The sequence below is a fragment of the Homo sapiens genome, chromosome 1, assembly GCF_000001405.40.
Source record: "Homo sapiens chromosome 1, GRCh38.p14 Primary Assembly".
Lineage (NCBI taxonomy): Eukaryota > Metazoa > Chordata > Mammalia > Primates > Hominidae > Homo > Homo sapiens.
The window spans coordinates 208,093,129-208,110,931 of NC_000001.11; the positions used below are offsets into that span (position 1 = coordinate 208,093,129).

Consider the following 17,803-nt stretch of genomic DNA (forward strand, 5'->3'; position numbering starts at 1 on the left):
AGCAGGGGTGTGCTTCTATAAGCTCATGAGAACTGATTATTCACATTTTCAGGAATTTTGCAAGCTGATAGACATCATGGTGGTAGTTTGAAATCGGCCATGGTGGAAATAGTTGCGCCACAGAATTTGGCAATGCTGCAAACTAGGTTTTCTTCTGAATGCTGGTAGCTAAACAGTTCCCAATATTTCACTGCTTGTAAAGACAGGGTAGCCGGCAGAGTACAGGGACAGGAATTGGGCATATCTGATTATAGACTTGCTTCTGCCACTGCCACTGGGGTCACACTGAGTAAGTCACTTCACCCTCTGAATTGGAGTATCTTCATCCGCCTGTAATAAAACATTCCTGTCTATGCCACAGGGCTGTTTGGTGTCAAATGAGATAATGCATAGAAAATGGTTTCGAAAAATGCCATGCTAAATGTGAGTATTATTGTCAAGCGCTTAAATTACCTGTTATTTCAACCTCTTAAATAACATTTGAGTGTTAACAATTGGTTCATATCATCTGTATTATTGGGCTTGGGGGAGCTAATAGTATTAAGTAGTAACTTTGTCCCACTCCCCCAGGCATGGAACAGTAGGATATGTGTGTGGTATGTGCTTTTCTTGCCAGGGTGAGCACTTCTTTCCTTCCAATTTCACCTGGAGACTGTGTATATTCTTTTGGCTCTCTGTGTGTGATCAGGTCATTGTAATGGAAATGGGTTTTGTAGGGGGGATTAGTCTTGCTCCTCCTCGCAGCCCCCTTACTCTATCTAGTCTTTCACAACTAGGCCAACCTGGAATGGACAGGACCAGGTCTGCAGTCTGGCGCCACCTGGTGGGGCTCTGATTACATTTGGGTGGTTGGGGCTTGATCCAGGGGTCACCGGCTCACAGGCCATAGTATGTTGGGTTGGTTAGCCCATTTACACTTCATCTTCCCATTCAGAGCATTTTTATCCCATTCTCCATTGCCCAGACTTTTTTAGTTTCTGAGCTTCATGCTATCTCATGTACTCTCAGATAGACTGGTTCTTGGTAACATCTTATGATTCAGCAAGTAAATAATGAAAATGGACCAAGGGCCTAAGGAGGATGGTTATTGGGGCTCTAGCTAGATGTGGCTCTTCCGCTGGCTACTTTTGTGACCTTCATTGTAGCACTAATCTTTCTGTGGGCCTCAGTTTACTTTTATTACAGCAAATTATTAAAAGGAGGGGACTATACTTGATTCCATGAATTTTAACTGAATTCCAGTAGAGAAGGGCAAGAGAGGCAGTGTTTGGCATTAAAATGGAATCTTTGCTGTCAAGGAGACCTGCTTTTTTTTTTTCTGTTAAAACTTGCTGCCTGTGACAGCATCTGTGTTGCCATAGCAATACATCTTTGAAAGTGGTGACATCATACTCTGTTGCCATGGAGATAAGATTGCTCTCACAAACAATGGATTCCATCACCACCATGTTGGAGTTTGAGAAGGAGGTAAGAAGTTCTGTTGCCCAGATGCTTGCCATTCCCAAAGCAGGGTTTGCTGGGATTCAAATGCAGTGGTTAGAGGGCAGCTTTGTCTATTTCAACTTCAGTCCCTTTCTGCCCTCCCTGGTTCCCACCAGGCCATTTCTATCACTTGTTCTGTCTTTCTCAGCACATCTATTTATTTGTCCCAATGGGGCTCCTTCCTTGACTAATGTAGAGACCAAAGAACTCCAGAAGATTATTCTAATTATGAAAATCAAGTTCAGAAAAATGGAGAATAAGGAGGACTAGCTTATTTGCCTCTTCTAATGACTAAAGATTCCTTTAGGGTTTAGCTGCAAACAGACCCTCTTCCCATCTTGATTGCTGAGTCCTTCATGCCCATAGCTTGGACCCTACAGACTGGATACCCCTGAAGACCTGACTATGATGTGGATCCCAAGTGGTTCCTGCCTTGGACAATGGGAAGGATGAGTCCGTAAACATTCCGAATCACTGCCTCCTCTGATATGGAGCTGTTGATTGACCTCTCCCCTTGCTGAATGTCTAGGGTTTTTGGTCCTATGACCCTTATGTGGCTCTATTACAGAGGCCTGTGTTTCCTTCTTTCTAAACCAAATGGTGTATGAGTTCCCAGCTTCTGTGGAAAGGGTCTCAGTTTCTCTACCAGGGAGGATCAGCAGAAACTAAGTAGGGGTTTCACTCCCTCCATTTCTGCTTTTTCCCTGTGAAATGTTCCCAGCTTCTCACACAGTTGTGGGGTCTCATAGCGTGTGGGCACCAACTGGCAGGCATTCAGCTGCTGGAATGGCTGGTGAGGTCCGTAGAACTAAAGTCAAGCCCCACTGAAGGCTGTGGTTTGGCCTGTCTGGTTTCCCTTCCTCTTGAAAATATTGAAGGATGGATTTAAAAAATGATGGAGTGAAGGCCTCTGCTCCACCTCCCCATCCAGGTCTTTTTATCATGTGCTGAGAGAGGCTACTTTCCCCCTTCCCTGCTCCTCCTCTGTGGGTGACTGTGTGCATAGCCGAGTCGCTATCTCGGAGTCCCTCTTCATCTGGTTGTGGGTGACATGTCCATACTCCACTCACTGTCAGCCTCTACCTTCAAAGTCACCACCAAGTGATGGAAAATGAAGAACTTTTTTTACGGTTCCTGTTCTCTGACTCTCTTTTTACTATCTTGGCCTGAGAGTTGGGGGTTAGGTGTGTTGGGGTGGCATCCAAGGATTCAGAGACTATAGAGAGTAAATACCATTTGGTTTAATATGGTAGTATTTATGTACAGTGTACTCTGTCCAAACAAAGTGTCAGGCCCCATGGGGAAACTGTGAGGTGACTACAACGTGGTTCCTGCCCTAAAGGAGCTTAGCATCGAGGGGAAGAAAGCCCATACCCACATCCAGACCCAGAGCAAGACCCTTTCTAATAAGCACTTACAGTTGGTGGGCACTGCAGTTGTAAAACTTGAACTCGGTGCTGACAAATATCTTCCCTGTCTCCTTGGACCTCAGCTGTAGCTCCAGCCCAAACCAGTCTGGAAAAACAAACAAAAAAGGATGGGGTTGGGTAACAACGTGGGGGACCCAGTGGACAGCCACAAAAATAAAATGTAAGTCATGAAGCCACCACAGGGCTCTCTTAGGATGTAGATACTATGTGGAACCTGCCTGAATCGTCTCTTCTCCTCCCAAGGAAGCCTCTTTGGGTAAATACCAGCCCACCCCTCAGACCCAGACTTCCTCTGCCTGCAGGGAGGAAGAAGCAGATTCCACGGAGCCCCTTGCCTTTGTCAGTCATGTTCCATTACTGAAAGGATTTCAGAAATATTAGGTCTGAGCCCCCAGTTCTGTGGAGAGACCTGCTAAAAAACTACTGATGGAAGCCACTCCATTCCTAGGAGGGACGGGCTATCTGGAAAGACGCTGTGTTCTGTGCAGCCTTAACTCAAAGTGGAGCAAGTGTTTTCTTTCCTGAAATTCACTTTGGGGCATGACAGTTTGCTTTCAAACGTAAACAAGTTGTCTAAGCCAATATTAGTATCTGGTATAAGAAGACTGTGTGCCTAGTTCTTGTGACCCCCAGCTCCCTCAGTATAGAGAAGCCCCTCATTTGTGGCTCTCATGGCAGATATTTCTTACCTTGATCCAGCGGGATGACAGGGACATCCTTGGGCCCAGGTGAGATGCAGATGACCTGGCTCCCGGACACCTGCCCCTCCACCTCTGTCAGGTTCCCAAAGGCACAGGCGATACCCGCAGATAGATCAGGAGCATCACTCACTACCAGGCTAAGCTGTGGGAGGAGCAAAGAGATGATGCCAAAGAAATGCCTCAGGAGACCTGGACTCCAGGTCCAGCCCTGCTGTGACCCACTTTGCTCACTGATCTCCCCTGACCTCATCTATAAAAGAAGGATGTTGGTCTAAGTGGTCTTCCAGCTTTGAACACTGAAGTTACAGTCATTAATTATTCAATGTGTGTAGGGTCAATGGTCTTTATTAATATTATTATTAATTAATGTTTCCATCTTCTCCAGCATTAGAAAGCCCTAGGGGTGGGGGCGCTAGAGGGAAAGGTACCAAAATCCATCTAAGCCCCTGTTCATTTTGACATGAAAATTAATTGCAAGGCACCACACAAACTTGAAAGCAAGTCCTGAGCCGAGCCCTTCACAGACAAGGCCTTAGCCATGGCTCATGGGAGTAAATATCACCAACCTGGAGGTTTACCAGGAGCTCACTAGGTTGGTGGAAGATAGCTAGCTCCTCACCTTGGCTGTCATTCATCAAGAGGCTGCTTCTAAAGGCTGCGTGTTCCCTAGAGTTTGTGCTTCTCTGTTCCATGTGGGCTCTCTGTTCTCTAGCAGCTCCCTTGAAATGGACCAGTAGGTTCATAAGGAGCTCAGGGGATCAGAGAAGTGGCCACCAACTGCTTGATGTCTGCTATTACCTATGGGTTCCAATCATCTAGGCCAGCGGTTTTCAGCTTTTTTGAATTTGAAGACCCTACTTTTAACAGTAAAAATATCACAGACTCTCTGAGGAATCTGTCGATTGAGAAAATATTCAATGGCAAAATGCTGCTCTAAATCCATTGCACTTTTAAATGAGTTTGTACTCAAATTACCACAATACAGCATCTAAGTGGTATTTGAATAGGTAAGAAAGGCGACTGGTTTCCTCTGCCCATGAGGTGTGCCCATAGGGTTCATGGTGGTGACATCTCGGTGGCCTCCAAGCTGAGGACCATGATGGCGTAGGTAGGTTTCCCTTTGTTTTATTTTTTAAATTTTTAGTAAAGACAGGGTCTCACTATGTTGCCCAGGCTAGTCTTGAGCTTCTGGGCTCAAGCAACCCTCTCCACCTCAGCCTCCCAAAGTGCTAGGATTACAGGCGTGAGCCACCGCGCCCAGCCTGTAGGTTTCCCTCTATCTTCCTATCAATACCCAGTGGTGTTATTTGCAGTGGGTTTCTCAGTCTCAGTGGGCATCACCTAACCTTTCCATACATTTGTTTGCTGCTGAATCTCTGCCCCAGTTTCGTTTCCATGGGGCCAAGAGACTTAGGTACAAACTCCCCTGTTTGTTTCCTCAGCTCCCTTGGAGCCAAAAGCTCCTGGTGGGGATGAATGAACTGAAATCTTGGAAGGTTCATTAACTAATTAACATTCGTGAATGCTCATAAAACCTTCAGAATGAAATAATAATGCAGGGCCTGAGGACATGAAATATTTTGGGTTGTACCTTGATAGATAGTTAAGGGCTATTTTATTCTCTTTAATATTCTCTTTAAGCATACACTGACTTCGAATTGAGGCAGTCTCTTTCTTGCTCTTATTCTTTCCTCTCTCTCTCTCTCTCTCTCTCTCTCACACACACACACACACACACACACACACACACATGCAACTCACAGATTTCTTTAAGAGTGCAGTGAGTGGAGAATTGTAAATGCAGCAGATACTAAAGAATGTGTTATTTGGTATTGGACTGCATTATGTTGCAGATGTTTGTTACTAAATGCAAAAATCTAGATTTACAAAACAGATCAATGGGTAATGAATTTGCAGGGAAACTGGAGAATGACTATGCCCTTTACAATAGGCATTGCCATACGTTTGCTATAAACATAAAGTCTCCTTACTGGATTTAAAGTCTGATCAATTTACAGATACTTGTGCAAGCGTGAATGGAGCACACCCACACAGGTGCATGCACTGTATTCCCTCTCCCCATGCCCCTGGATGAGTTACTTACCAACCGGCTGTGCTCAGATACTGAGATGCTGCTGGGATGCACTGCAAGGCTCACACACTGGCTGATGCTGGCAGCAAATCGATTAGGTTCCCAGGCCTGTTGGCATTTGTCCCTGCGGGAGCACCTGCCATAAACACAGATTCACAAGAGGTCAGGCCTCTGGGACCCATCTGTTTGGCTCCATTGTCCCCTGGGCAGGATGGGAGTTTGCTGCCCTGAGGCCTGTGTCCTGTCTTCTCAAGAAGACTTTTACTGTACTCCGGAGGGCCTTGGTGACTCTCAGACAGTCTCCGTCGCAGTTAAGGACAGACTGAGAGGGAAGAGGATTAATCCCCAACATGAGAGATCCAGTTTCGACACAAAGAATTAACAGTGGAGGGTGTTCAGGTTCTTGATGTCTTGAACAAAGAATTGGACAAAACGCACAAACAAAGCAAGGAAGGAATGAAGGGATTTATTGAAAATGAAAGTTCACTCCACAGTGCGGGAGCGGGCCTGAGCATAGGGGCTCAAAGGCCCTGTTATAGAATTTTGGGGGAGTTTAAATACCCTCTGCTTGGAGTATGTCTTATGTAAATGAAGAGGATGAAGTAAAGTTACAAAGTCATTTACAGCCAGTGTACGCCTATGGAGAGGATATTTTCTGTCAGAGCTGAAGTGTGAATCAGCCTTATGTTCCCTGCCTCCAGACCCTGTTTTCCTGCCTCAGAATGACTCTGTTATTTTTGTTTGTTTGTTTTTTTGAGACAGAGTCTTGCTCTGTTGCCTAAGCTGGAGTGCAGTGGCAGGGTCTCAGCTCACTGAAAACTCCACCTCCCGGGTTCAGGCAATTCTCCTGTCCCAGCCTCCTGAGTATCTGGGATTACAGGCGCCCACCACCGTGCCCGGCTAATTTTTATATTTTTAGTAGAGACGGGGTTTCACCATCTTGGCCAGGATGGTCTCAAACTCCTGATCTCGTGATCCACCTGCGTCAGTCTCCCAAAGTGCTGAGATTACAGGTGTGAGCCACCGCACCTGGCCCTAGAATGACTCTTTACAGCACTGTGGGATGCTGAGACCACAGAGTGAGGGCAGCCTGTGGGACCTGAGAAGCAGCACAGCCATGGAAAAGCAAATGAACTTTGGGGCCAAAGAGCCTGGGTTCCAACCTCAGACCTGTTACCTACTAGCTGCGACCCCTTGGACAAACTACTTAATCTCTCTCTGCCTCAGTTTCCTCAACTGTAAAAAAAAAATAAGGATTGGCCAGGCATGGTGGCTCACACCTGTAATCCCAGCACTTTGGGAGGCTAAGATGAGGAGGATTGCTTGAGCCTATGAGTTCAAGACCAACCTGGGCAACATAGTGGGACCCCATTCTAAAAAAAAAAATTAGCTGGGTATGGTGGCACACGCCTCTAGTTCCAGTTACTCAAGAGGCTGAGTTGGTTAGATTACTTGAGCGCTGTAGTGAGCTGTGATTGCACCACTACACTCTCACCTGGGTGACACAGTGAGACCTTATCTCAAAGAAAAAAAAAAGGAGGAGGAGGATGATAATACGTATTTCACAGGGTTGGTGTAAGAATTAAAGGAGTTAGTGCTTAGAAAATGGCCTGGCGCATAGTAGGTGCCATGACAGTGTTAGCCCTTATAATATTAATATTAATGATGCTGATAATGATTCATATTATCATTTTCCTCCAGAGAAATTTTTAAGAAAATAGGAGAGGGTCTTGGCAGTGTGGGACAGTGTGCATATGATCTTGTGGGTGGATTAATGGCTATTTGAAGGCAGTGGCCATGTTTTATTCATTGGGATATTCTACCTGTCACATGGTATATTTTAAATAAATGTTTGTGTCACGAAATAATGCCTTGAGACAGAGAGACAGACAAGGCGCTGCAGCCAGGGCTGCCTCTGTCAGAAAGCTTGTTTGGCTGTTTCTCCCAACATCTTCATCTCGGGCTCTAGGCTCCCCTGCCCACAGTAGCAGGTGGGCAGGTGACACCAGCACTCGGGAGCTTCAGGTTACTGTCTGCCTTGTCACATGGAAACCCGCTCCACGGCTGGTGCCAGCGTGTCCAAACCAAATAGCCATCGGGACACTAGTGATTCCACAATCAAGCAGTGATTCGCACCCTAACTCCCTCCAAACTCCTCCCCCTCTTCCTTTTCAGGCACATAATGGATCTAAATATGAATGCTGTCAAAGAAAAGAATTATTGAGGTTTAAGTGAATCCTTAAGATAGCTCTAAAGTGAGCTCTTGACTGGAGCCTTTATCTCATTGACTCACTGAAATGGCTCTTTTTTATCATACTATTTATGGCAACAGCCCTAACAGAGATAAATAGCCTTGGAGACAATAACACACTTGCAAGAGCAAGGCATACAGAAGAGACAGGAAGGCTTCAATTCCCCCCAACCCCTCAGAGGCTCCTCAGCCCTCGGCCTCCATTAAAGAGGCCACCGTGGGGACCCGGGAGCTGCAGCTTCCCCCATCTCCTCACGCCTGATACCAGGCTGCTGCTTGGCAGGTGGGAGAGCACTGCAGGAGGGTCTGGTGAAGAAGAGAATGACCAGATGCAGAGAAACCTCTGGGTATAAACAGCAAAAATCTTGTTCTCCGCGAGCTCTTGGGGCGGAGAAGCTGGGAGATGAGTGTCCTGGTAGGTAGGGAGGATTCTCTAAAGAGTTAAGGAGTTAAGGGGACAGAGGAAACCTGGGACTATTCTGATGTGGCTAATTCCAGCAGTCACGGCTGACCTGCACCAGGAGGAAGACCAGGTGGTTTGCGGCAGCGGGGAGGCCCAGGCATTGCTGATAGATCTATAGGCACTTGTTCAAGATGGGGAAAACAGACGTCCTTGCTGTTGAATAAATGATAATCCCCGATCTATAATTTTGGTGTGTTCGACATGGGAGAAGTGCCACAGGCACTGAAGCTGGGAGGACAGAGTGGCGGAGGCATGGGGAGTAGGAGGTACCGCTGGACATGACCACTGCAGAGCTAGAGGGCAGGCTGCCCAGGGCCCTTTGCACAGAGCTGGCAGCAGGCTGTCAGGTTCTTTGGAGAAAGAAATTCTCTCGAGGAAAGACCCTGCCTGCTGGCTGGTGGGTCAGCCTCACTGCAGGGAACCAAGATTTACCCCCTTTTGCCATTCTGGGGCACAACATTAGCATCTTTACCACTTGTCTGACCTAAATGGAGACACACTGTCCAGGTCTGCTAAGAGCATTTCTGCAAAACTTTCTGAGCAGTCTTTTACCTCCAAAACCCAAGCAGGGAACCCAGTATTCACGGGCTCAAATCCAGTCCAGATTTTGCATCTGTGAGGCACCAGCTTCCCTCCCTCCCTCCAGAGCCCTCCCAACACCTGCCGCAGAGGCTGGAAGCCAAGAGCTATTGTGCAGGACCCTGAACTCTGGCCCTCCGCCTCCGCCTCCACCCCAAACCCAGCTCATTTCATGGAGATGCTTTGCTAGCTGGCATGGAGCCCTGGAGTTTCCAACTCCATTGGGCAACAGAATTCCTAGCCAGCTCCTGTCTTTCGGGGTTTTCACCCTTTCTCTTCCCCTGGGGCTCTTCAAATTAGGAAGTTTAAGTGTGATTTAGCATTTATATTGAGTTGGTATTCAACGGCAGATCATGAGGCCAGTTGAAGTGAGATGTGAACTTCTTAGAATCATAAAATAATGAGACCAGAAGGGTCCTCCCAAGGGTATAGGGTCCATGATAATTATTCTGATTTGTGTAGCCTTTTCTGGGCTTCCTTATTACCAAAGCATTTATTATTTCATTCAGTCTTCACAATTCACCTGTGAAATAGGCATTTTCCCTAAACAGCAATGGAGAAACAGAGGCCTGGAGTTGTCAGGGGACCCATCCAGGGTCACACAGCAGCTAGCTGGAGTCTAAACCTCCCAATGCCAGTGCACCACCATCTGCACACTCTTGGCACAGAGGGGCACCCATTTCAGGCTACACTGAAGAAGTTTTGGGGAAACCTAAAGACTACAGTATCCCTTGTGAGTTCTTTCAAAGACACAAGGATATAAGCACCTCACTTCAGAGCAGCTGAAGGGCTGAATTTGGAAGTAAAATGGAAGAAGAGAGGCAAAGACCCTGCACTTAGAAAGAAGGCCCACCCATGGCCTCTTTGCCTCTTCCTGCTCTCAACACTGAAGCCACGATTAGAATTACTGCTCTGAAGAGGACAATTCCTCTCTCTGCAAAGTACTGTCATATCCCATCATTCCCGGAAAGCCCCGGTCTTCTGCATGCCAAACCCTTTTCCAGTATACCCCAAACTTACATGTTGTGCAGGGCACACCAGCCACAGTGAGGGTCCCCAGAGCTCAGGCACTCCCCACAAGTCGTATACTGCTCACATGACTCCACGGGGACCCTGGTGACCTGGCAGAGAGAGCAAAGAGGGTACAGTGAGGTTAGGCTGTGACGACTAGCAGGTGTGTGTCACACAGTCCTGTGTGTACTCACACTTGCACTGTCAACTCCCCTAAAGAGGTGATACTGGGCGGCAAGTCATGGCCTCAATGTCCCCAATCTCTTTACCTGCATAAGGCAGGTAGGCTAAGCCGAGTGTGTCTCTGAGTGGCAGCCCTAAGACTTCTTGCCTTCGCGAGAGGTAGCAGCAAAGGCTCCATCTATTTCTGCCCTCCACTAGCATCCTCCCGAGAGCTGGGCAAGCCAGTGGCAAGTACTGAAAATGGTTAACTCTGTTGAAAGGCTATTGAGTGGCACAAACTCATCTCTGAAGAGCTTTCAGCTGGGCTTGGGCTGAGACATCCTGCCTACACAGAAAACATTCAAAAAGGGAAAGGAGAAACTTTTCCCATCAAATAATATTCATAGTATGGTACAGACTCTTTACAGCCAACCAAATATACCACCTGGATCCAATTATCCCATTCTCTGATGTCTGCATTCAGTTTCTCTAGTAAATCTCCCATCCTTTGAAAAGTCTGGCTAAATGGGAACATCCACAGAAAAGAGCTGCCTGATTCAGTCTTGCCTGGAAAGTGGGAATTTGTAGATCAAGACCCTGCCCCCCAGAGAGTGTAGCCCTTGCACACTCCTCCTGGTCTTCTGCTGGGGCCCTGCAGGGGCTTGAGCTGGGCCTGTCTGGATATTACTCACCCCTACTTGCACAGCAGGGGTGAAAATAAAGACCAGGCAAGGGGGCCAGAGGACTGAAGTGTTCCAGTTGATATGTCCTAGGTATCTGTTGCTGGCTGGGGCAGGAGGCTGCTGGGCTGCAAAAACATTTGCTGTGCTGGGAATGGGTTCTTATTTGTTAGGGCATAGAGGTCCCCCACCTACCAGATGTGTAAAAAGTAAAAACATAACCTGTGGTCCAGTAGCACAGTGTTCTGCCTCTGGCAGGGGGACAAAAGATATGACGGAGACATCTCCACGGCATCCTCCTGAGAGGTTCAGGATGGATCCTAACACTGTTCACTCAGCAAATGTTTATCAGATGTCAACGCTGTGGAGCTCTGGTGCTATGCAACAGAGAAACGACAGCGAACAGCACACAGATTCTGCCCTCCCAGAACCCTACGGTCCAGTGGGAGTTGGTAATGACAAACCGAGACTTGCTCTACATTGTGCTGAGTTTTTGTTGTGTGGGATTGCTGTGAGTGCTGAAGGTTTGGGGAACTTAGCGAAGAGGTGACCAGTGGTGTAGGGGTGCCTTGAAGGGTAAGAGGGGGTCAGATGCAGAGACCTGGAAAGACATGCCAATCTGAAGGATTGTGATGAGCGAAAGCGATCATGGATAAGTTCAGTATAAACTTAAGTGTAGGGTGTACAGTGGGTGGGAGGGGAGAGAGATGAGCCTGCCTTTCCTCTCTTGGGTGTCCCCACCCATCCTTCCTACATCATCACACTTAACATTGCATATATGAGGCTTTTCTGTAAGTCAGTGACATGATCAGCTTTAAACATCCCTCACCTCCCTTTAATAATAAAAACATGAAATGCAGGGAGATGAGTGTAAAATCTTGCAATTTAGCTTTAAAAAAGACTGGTACTATAAGTTTAAGACGGGGGATAGCTGATTTGAAATAGTTCAAGTGTGATAGACCTAAGGGTTTGAGTTGACTCAAAGTCAACTCAACTCAAAATCTGATGTGACCTGATAGGGTGAGGTGATAACGAAAGAAGCTAATCTGACCATGGGCTGCATAAATAGACACACAGCATCAGGGTCGAGAGAAGCCACCCCCCACTGTGGAGTCCGGAGTTCAGGTCTCCGCAGCCTGCCCTAGGAGAGGCGTTGCTCAACCAGAGATCCTTCCTGGAGGGTGGCCAGGATGGGGTGGGATGCAGCAGATGAACCTGGGATGTTTATTTAGTCCAATGAAGAGTCTCAAAGTAGTCATGCAGGCTGTTTTCCAGTGTTCGAAGGGGAGCAGTATGGCTGCAGTGGGACTCATGGGTGAAAAGCTCAGAAAAGCTCAACATCATGCAACCGCCTGGCTTTCCAAAGGAACGCCTATCACAGGGATGCATAAGCAGTCAAGGTGACATTCGTCCCAAAGGCTGGAAGAAAGGATTTCTGCCCTCAGAGGAAGGCTACATTAGTCCCTGCCAATTCTGACATTCCAGCCTTCTATTTCCCACAGTTTCCCTAACTCCTCCTTGAGACTGTTGATGATTTTTGTCCTGTACAACTCTACAGTTAAAAGATAACATGCAGCCACCACCACCACCACCAATTCACACCGCCTTAAAGAATAACCCTTGAACCCTGCCTCATGGCCCACGATGCCTACAAGAAACACCTTTCAGACAGGTATCTGCCGGAGACCTTCTAGTGTACGTCTCCCAGGCCTGGTGACTATCAGCCCTCTGGGATAACAGAGACCCTGGCTGCCTGGGAGGCTTCCGCTGGCCCCCTCCAAACCACTCTCTGAGGCCTGAGAATGGTGGTCCAGTGCCTAGCCTCCTTTTCTTGGGTTTCGGGCTCCTTGTGAGGGATGTCTGCATCTGGCTGCAAATTAAAACAACTGTCTGCATTGCATTCGGCCCGTCTGTCAAAACACAGCCCAGCCCTCAGCAGCTGGGAAAAGGGGCCCTGAATGGGAGCAGTGTCTCCAGCAACAAAGCCCACTTTCACGCCAAGTGCCACGGAGATAGTGAAACCCTGTTCTTCTCCAAACATGAAACCAATAGCACAACTATTTTTCCTGTTTCCTGGGCCCTCCTGGTGATTTTTTTTTTTTTTAATGCACTGAGTTGAAGAGCAAAGTGAAACAGGAAACTTGTAAGTTGGCAGGGGTGGAGGGGGGGTGGTCTAAAACTTGAATTATTCTGTCCTCTAAGATGTAACAGCCACACACAAACCAGAGGAAAGAAATGTCACAGTGACCGGGTGGAGACCCTCAAAGTCAGATGTTCCCAGGAGCCTCCTCTGTCTCTTATATTCATGTGCTTCTATATTCATTTGTCAGTCAATATTCATTGATTGTGTCCTCCATCCAGGCCAGTGCTAGGCACTTCAGAATAAAAACAACGACAGCATTAAAACACAACTAGCACCTTCAAGTTGCGAACAGGCTAGCAATAAAAAGAAGAAAGCGATACGTGTTCTAAGACAAGTATTCAAAGAGGGCTGAGGGAATTCAGAGCAACGAGAAAACACTGCCTGCATCTGTGCTGCCCAGTACAATAGCCACTAGCTTCATGCGGCTATTGAGTTTGAAATGTAGCTAGGACAAATTAAGATGTACTGTAAGTCTACAATACACACTGGATTTGGAAGATTTAGAGAGGAAAAGAAAAAAGGGAAAAAATTACATCAATAATTTTTATTGACATGTTGAAGAGATATTTTGCTTATCTTGAATTAAATGTATTATTAATTTCACCTGTTCTTCTTCCTTTTTGAAATGTGGCTACTAGAAAAGTTAAAATTACACATGTAGTTCATGCTTGTGGCTCATATTTTATTTCTATCTGACAGTGCTGCCCTAAACGGAGTATACACAGTATGTGTCCGGGCCTTAAAAGGTGAAGAATATTTAGACAGATGAAGAGCATTCCAGGTGGAAAGAACCATATAAGCAGACACTGGAAAGCAGGGTTTCTTCAAACACCTTTGGTGAGGGCAAGGGAGGGATGGTGCAAGTCTGGATATGTGAGTCTGGGTGACCATGGGAAGAACTGCAAAGACCACAGAGCTGGAATATGTGATGCCTCCAAGCCTTCTAGCCTTGGCCAAAACAATGTCCTCCATGAGGCAGGTCTGGGGCCCTCAAGGAGCAATGGCCCTCAGTGTATGGTTCTCAAACCAGCACCATTGGTGTCACGTGTGAGATTACTGAACATGAAAATCCAGGGTGCACTAAATCAGAAACACTGGGGAAGAGGTCCAGGAAATGGGTCTTAACAACTCTCCAACCGATTCTTACGCAGGCCAACCACTGATATAGATGACTCCAGCTCTCCGAGTGGGTCTTTTTAAATGTTAGGTCCTGGGGCCAGGAAGAAACAGAATATCACTCTTCCTTGGTGCTATGGAAGGAATTAGAGGGATTTTAGGGGTGTAGGGGAAGGCAACAGTGCTCTGGGGACTACTTTATGCCCAGTGAGAAATTGGTTCTAATCATTCTGCATCTATGAAGTCCATAAAGGACCAAGTTCAAGCCTCCGCAGTCAGGAGCCACTTCACTTTGTACCCCAGGTGACAGCCCAGCACTTGTTCTAGGGCTGGGTCGGGTGGGGAGGGAGATGTCTTCAGAAACTCAAGAAGGAAAGGGAGCTTTCTCCTGGAGAGTGTCCACCGCGTCGGGCGCCCTCTGTCAGGGCTGACTCAGAGTTTAACGGGACACTCTATGACACTTTAATTAGCATTTGTTTACTATTATTGCATTTTAATTATGCCTGAGGCTCCTTGGCCCCCTCCACTCTGAGTGCTGGGATCTGGGGGTGGCTGGGCTGGCAGGTGAGTGTGGCAATGGGAATTATACAATGGGAGGCCCTTCTCCTGCCCCCTATGGCCTTCTCCCCAGGACCCGCAGTGCTGCTTCAAACTGGATTCCACCCTCATGCTTGACATTCTTTTCTGCTTGATCTTATGGCTTGTAATTACACCTTTAATGAATATAACTGTCCTGTTAAGTCATTTACTTAAGAAATACTCTTATTTAAAGGTGACTCACACTGTGTTCTTGGCTCTCCTGGCCCCGGGGCCCCGCGTCTCTGGTGCCTTCCTTGGCCTGATTCAGCGGGGCTGAAGATACATGTGGGAGGGACTTGGCAGGGAGTGCAGAGTGTGGGGCAGTTTTCCTTCCCTGACCAACTCTCTCAATTCAGCACACGAGTAGCCCACAGAGTGTCAGGCCCAGTATAGCCAGACACATTATCAGATAATTATTAGAGGCAGTGGGGACAAGTCACTGAGGGAAGCCACTGGACCCAGCCTCTTTCCTGAAGGTCTTGAAAAGCATGGCACACCTGTAGTGTTTGGACCATCCAAGGTAAGGCCAGGAAAGCCTCAGAGGCCCTAAGAGTGAGTCATCCTGGACAGAGCCCCTGGGCAGTTACTCCCATCAGGAGCAGACACATCACCCTTTCCACAGAAGAGTTTCCCAATGGTAGGCATAAGAACAAGCGCCCTTTGCCAAGTGAGCCTGGGGACAGAGAATCAACACTGCATCTCTGCCACCCTATATGGACACCTGGAAGGACCCACATGGTTCTGAGCTCTTCTATGGCTCTTCTGGAGAAACGCCTGAGGTGAAAGCAGAAAACCTCACATGATTCTGACAGTGGATCATGCCGGAGGCCCATTTAGTCCTTAAACATCTACTGAGCACTTACATTGTACTCAACCCTCTGTTAGGCATCAGGGCTACATTCTCTTCCCTCCTGGAGCCCATGGTTCAGTTGAGAACAAAACCAAGGAAATAGATAATCTCAATATGGTAGGACAGATGCCACAATAGAAGTAGAACCAGGACCGTCGTGGCTCAGAGGACAGAGAGTGGCAGCTCACCTCAGGGGGCTCTGGCAGGAGCACTCAGTGTTCAAGCGATCTGCAAGATTTCTTTGCAATCATGCAAGAGAGACACAGAGGGATGAAAGGAACAAGGGAAAATTGTTCCCCAGGCTGGTGGGCCCCTCCAAGATTGAGAATTTAATCTCTTTCTTCCCTGGAATCTTCCCTGGAATCTTCCCTGGAATCTGCCCTGCCAGATGGTACACCTGTCCTCACACGTGTCCCCTGCTCCTGACACAAGGGAAGAAACAGAGGCCTTCTCAGTGGCTGGGAGCCAGGTGGCAGGGGTGGGAGGTGGCACAGATGCCCGAATGGAGCACCAGTTGGCCTCATCAACAGCCTCCTGGTCCTCAGGGCTCAGGGCAGAGCACACAGCAGCTGAAGCTGATGGAGCTGGCTCCCTGGGCCTCTCTCCTTTCCTTTTTACCTTCTCTTGGTGGTCCCTCCCTGCAGGCCCACCCCTTCACCCCTTCAGGTTTATAGGGTCTCAGAGCCACTTTCTTCTCTTTCCCCCAATCCAAACCTGTTTTCAAGAAAAGATCTGACACTCATTTACACACACAGCTGATGGTGGATTGAAGAGAGACCCCTGCTGGGGCTGCTGTATGGACAGAGATCAATAACGCAGTCACAGCAATCCTGGCAGAGGGTTTTGGCATTTTTGAAATGCTTTCACACACATTATCTCATTTGATCTGCACAACTCCCCAGAGAGGAAGAGAGGACAGGTATTGTTATGTGTTATGATTTTCACTGGATCTACTGAGAAATTAAGGCCCCCAAAGAGCGCTTAAGTCCTCACTTGCAGTGAGTGGCAAAGTGGCCAACTGGAGGAGAATCCTCCACGGCCCATGATGGGACTGACTGTTCGCTCTTCTCAGATATACTGCAAGGGCTCTTTCTGAAGGATGAGGAGGGAGAAGGTGGCCCAGGAGTCCACTGCGAGATCCGAGGCAAGAGCAGAGCGGGGATCAGGAGGCTTGAAGCAACCTGAAGGCAGGTGAGGCTTCTGCTTCTCTGCACCCTACAGCTCCTAGTACCCAGTAGCTGTTAACTGATGGAATAAATGGGTGGGTGGAGTTTTTCTTCTTCACAGGCTTGCACCAAATCTTGTAAGCCCTTCTGTAAATGGGTGCAATTAACATGGAGATGTTGATTTTCTGTAGATTTTCTGCCTGGCAGCCTAGTGTACTATGCTTCCCTTGACACTCATTCAGAGTCCTCACAGGGAGAGAAATGTGGGCCAATGTTTGGGGAGGCCCAGTCCTGCCCCTGACCCTGGCCTTATTCTCTCAGGCAGAGAAGCCAAGGTAGACCCTCTGGGGAAAGTCCAGGCCCCCTCCCTCCTGACATGCCTCTTACTCCATCCCCTTTGGCTCAGCAAGTCTCCAAAGAAAAATTCCCACACCACTTTCTGTCCTTCAGCAGGAAAGAGCTGATGTCTACTGGATGCCTGAAGCAACACCTTAATCTCAATCTCCCCTGCTGGGAGCAGGTGAGGGAGGCAGCAAGGAAATCATGTCCCTTTGGATCTGCTGCCTAAGGTTCTGGGGGAAGTGATGGGCACTGAGGTCTCCTGACAGCTGGCAGGCTCCTGGCTGGCCCCACCTTGCCCTGAGCTGGGCAGTGGACCGAGCTTGTTGAATGGATTGAAGCAGCAGGAACAATAATAACAACAGCTGCATGTATCCAGTATTTACCGCATGCCAGGCACGTCACATAGATTACCTCATTTAATCCTTACACCAACCTTTCCAGGGAGGTATTCTTAGTCCCATTTTACCTATTAGAAAACTGAGTGTCAGCTTAAGTAACGCAGGTAAGGTCATATCCTTTGTAGGGTAACAGAAACAAAATTGGTGTCTAAGTTTGTTTAATTCCCACACAGATGCAGCGGGGTCCAGACAGACAGAGGCAAGGACTGCAGAGGGAAGGCCCCTTCTCCTGGAGCTGCCCCAAAAGCGGCCACCGGGGCCATTCTTCTTCCTAGAAAGAACATCTTTCTGCTTCCTAGTCAAGCTGCTGGACACTGCAGGTCAGGTTCACCCGCCTGACCACTGCAAATCTCTTAGC

The 17,803-nt window shown here is 47.9% G+C and overlaps 1 protein-coding gene and 1 long non-coding RNA gene across 4 annotated transcripts in view; one reads left to right on the plus strand and one right to left on the minus strand.

Annotated features, from left to right (window-relative positions):
* The window catches only part of PLXNA2 (plexin A2), a 222,143-nt gene that overhangs the window by 70,887 nt on the left and 133,453 nt on the right, over positions 1 to 17,803 (minus strand). For all 3 annotated transcript variants that reach the window (NM_025179.4, XM_005273164.4, XM_005273165.5), the window contains exons 5-8: positions 10,019 to 10,119; positions 5,718 to 5,841; positions 3,602 to 3,755; positions 2,901 to 2,997 (exon numbers count right to left, since the gene is read on the minus strand). In NM_025179.4, the coding sequence (NP_079455.3) occupies positions 2,901 to 2,997; positions 3,602 to 3,755; positions 5,718 to 5,841; positions 10,019 to 10,119 (476 nt within the window). The remainder of the gene's footprint in view (positions 1 to 2,900; positions 2,998 to 3,601; positions 3,756 to 5,717; positions 5,842 to 10,018; positions 10,120 to 17,803) is intronic.
* Positions 13,762 to 17,662, plus strand: LOC105372887 (uncharacterized). The gene is made up of 4 exons (XR_007066850.1): positions 13,762 to 13,831; positions 16,612 to 16,730; positions 17,156 to 17,225; positions 17,619 to 17,662. It is a non-coding gene; the product is annotated as an uncharacterized LOC105372887 (long non-coding RNA).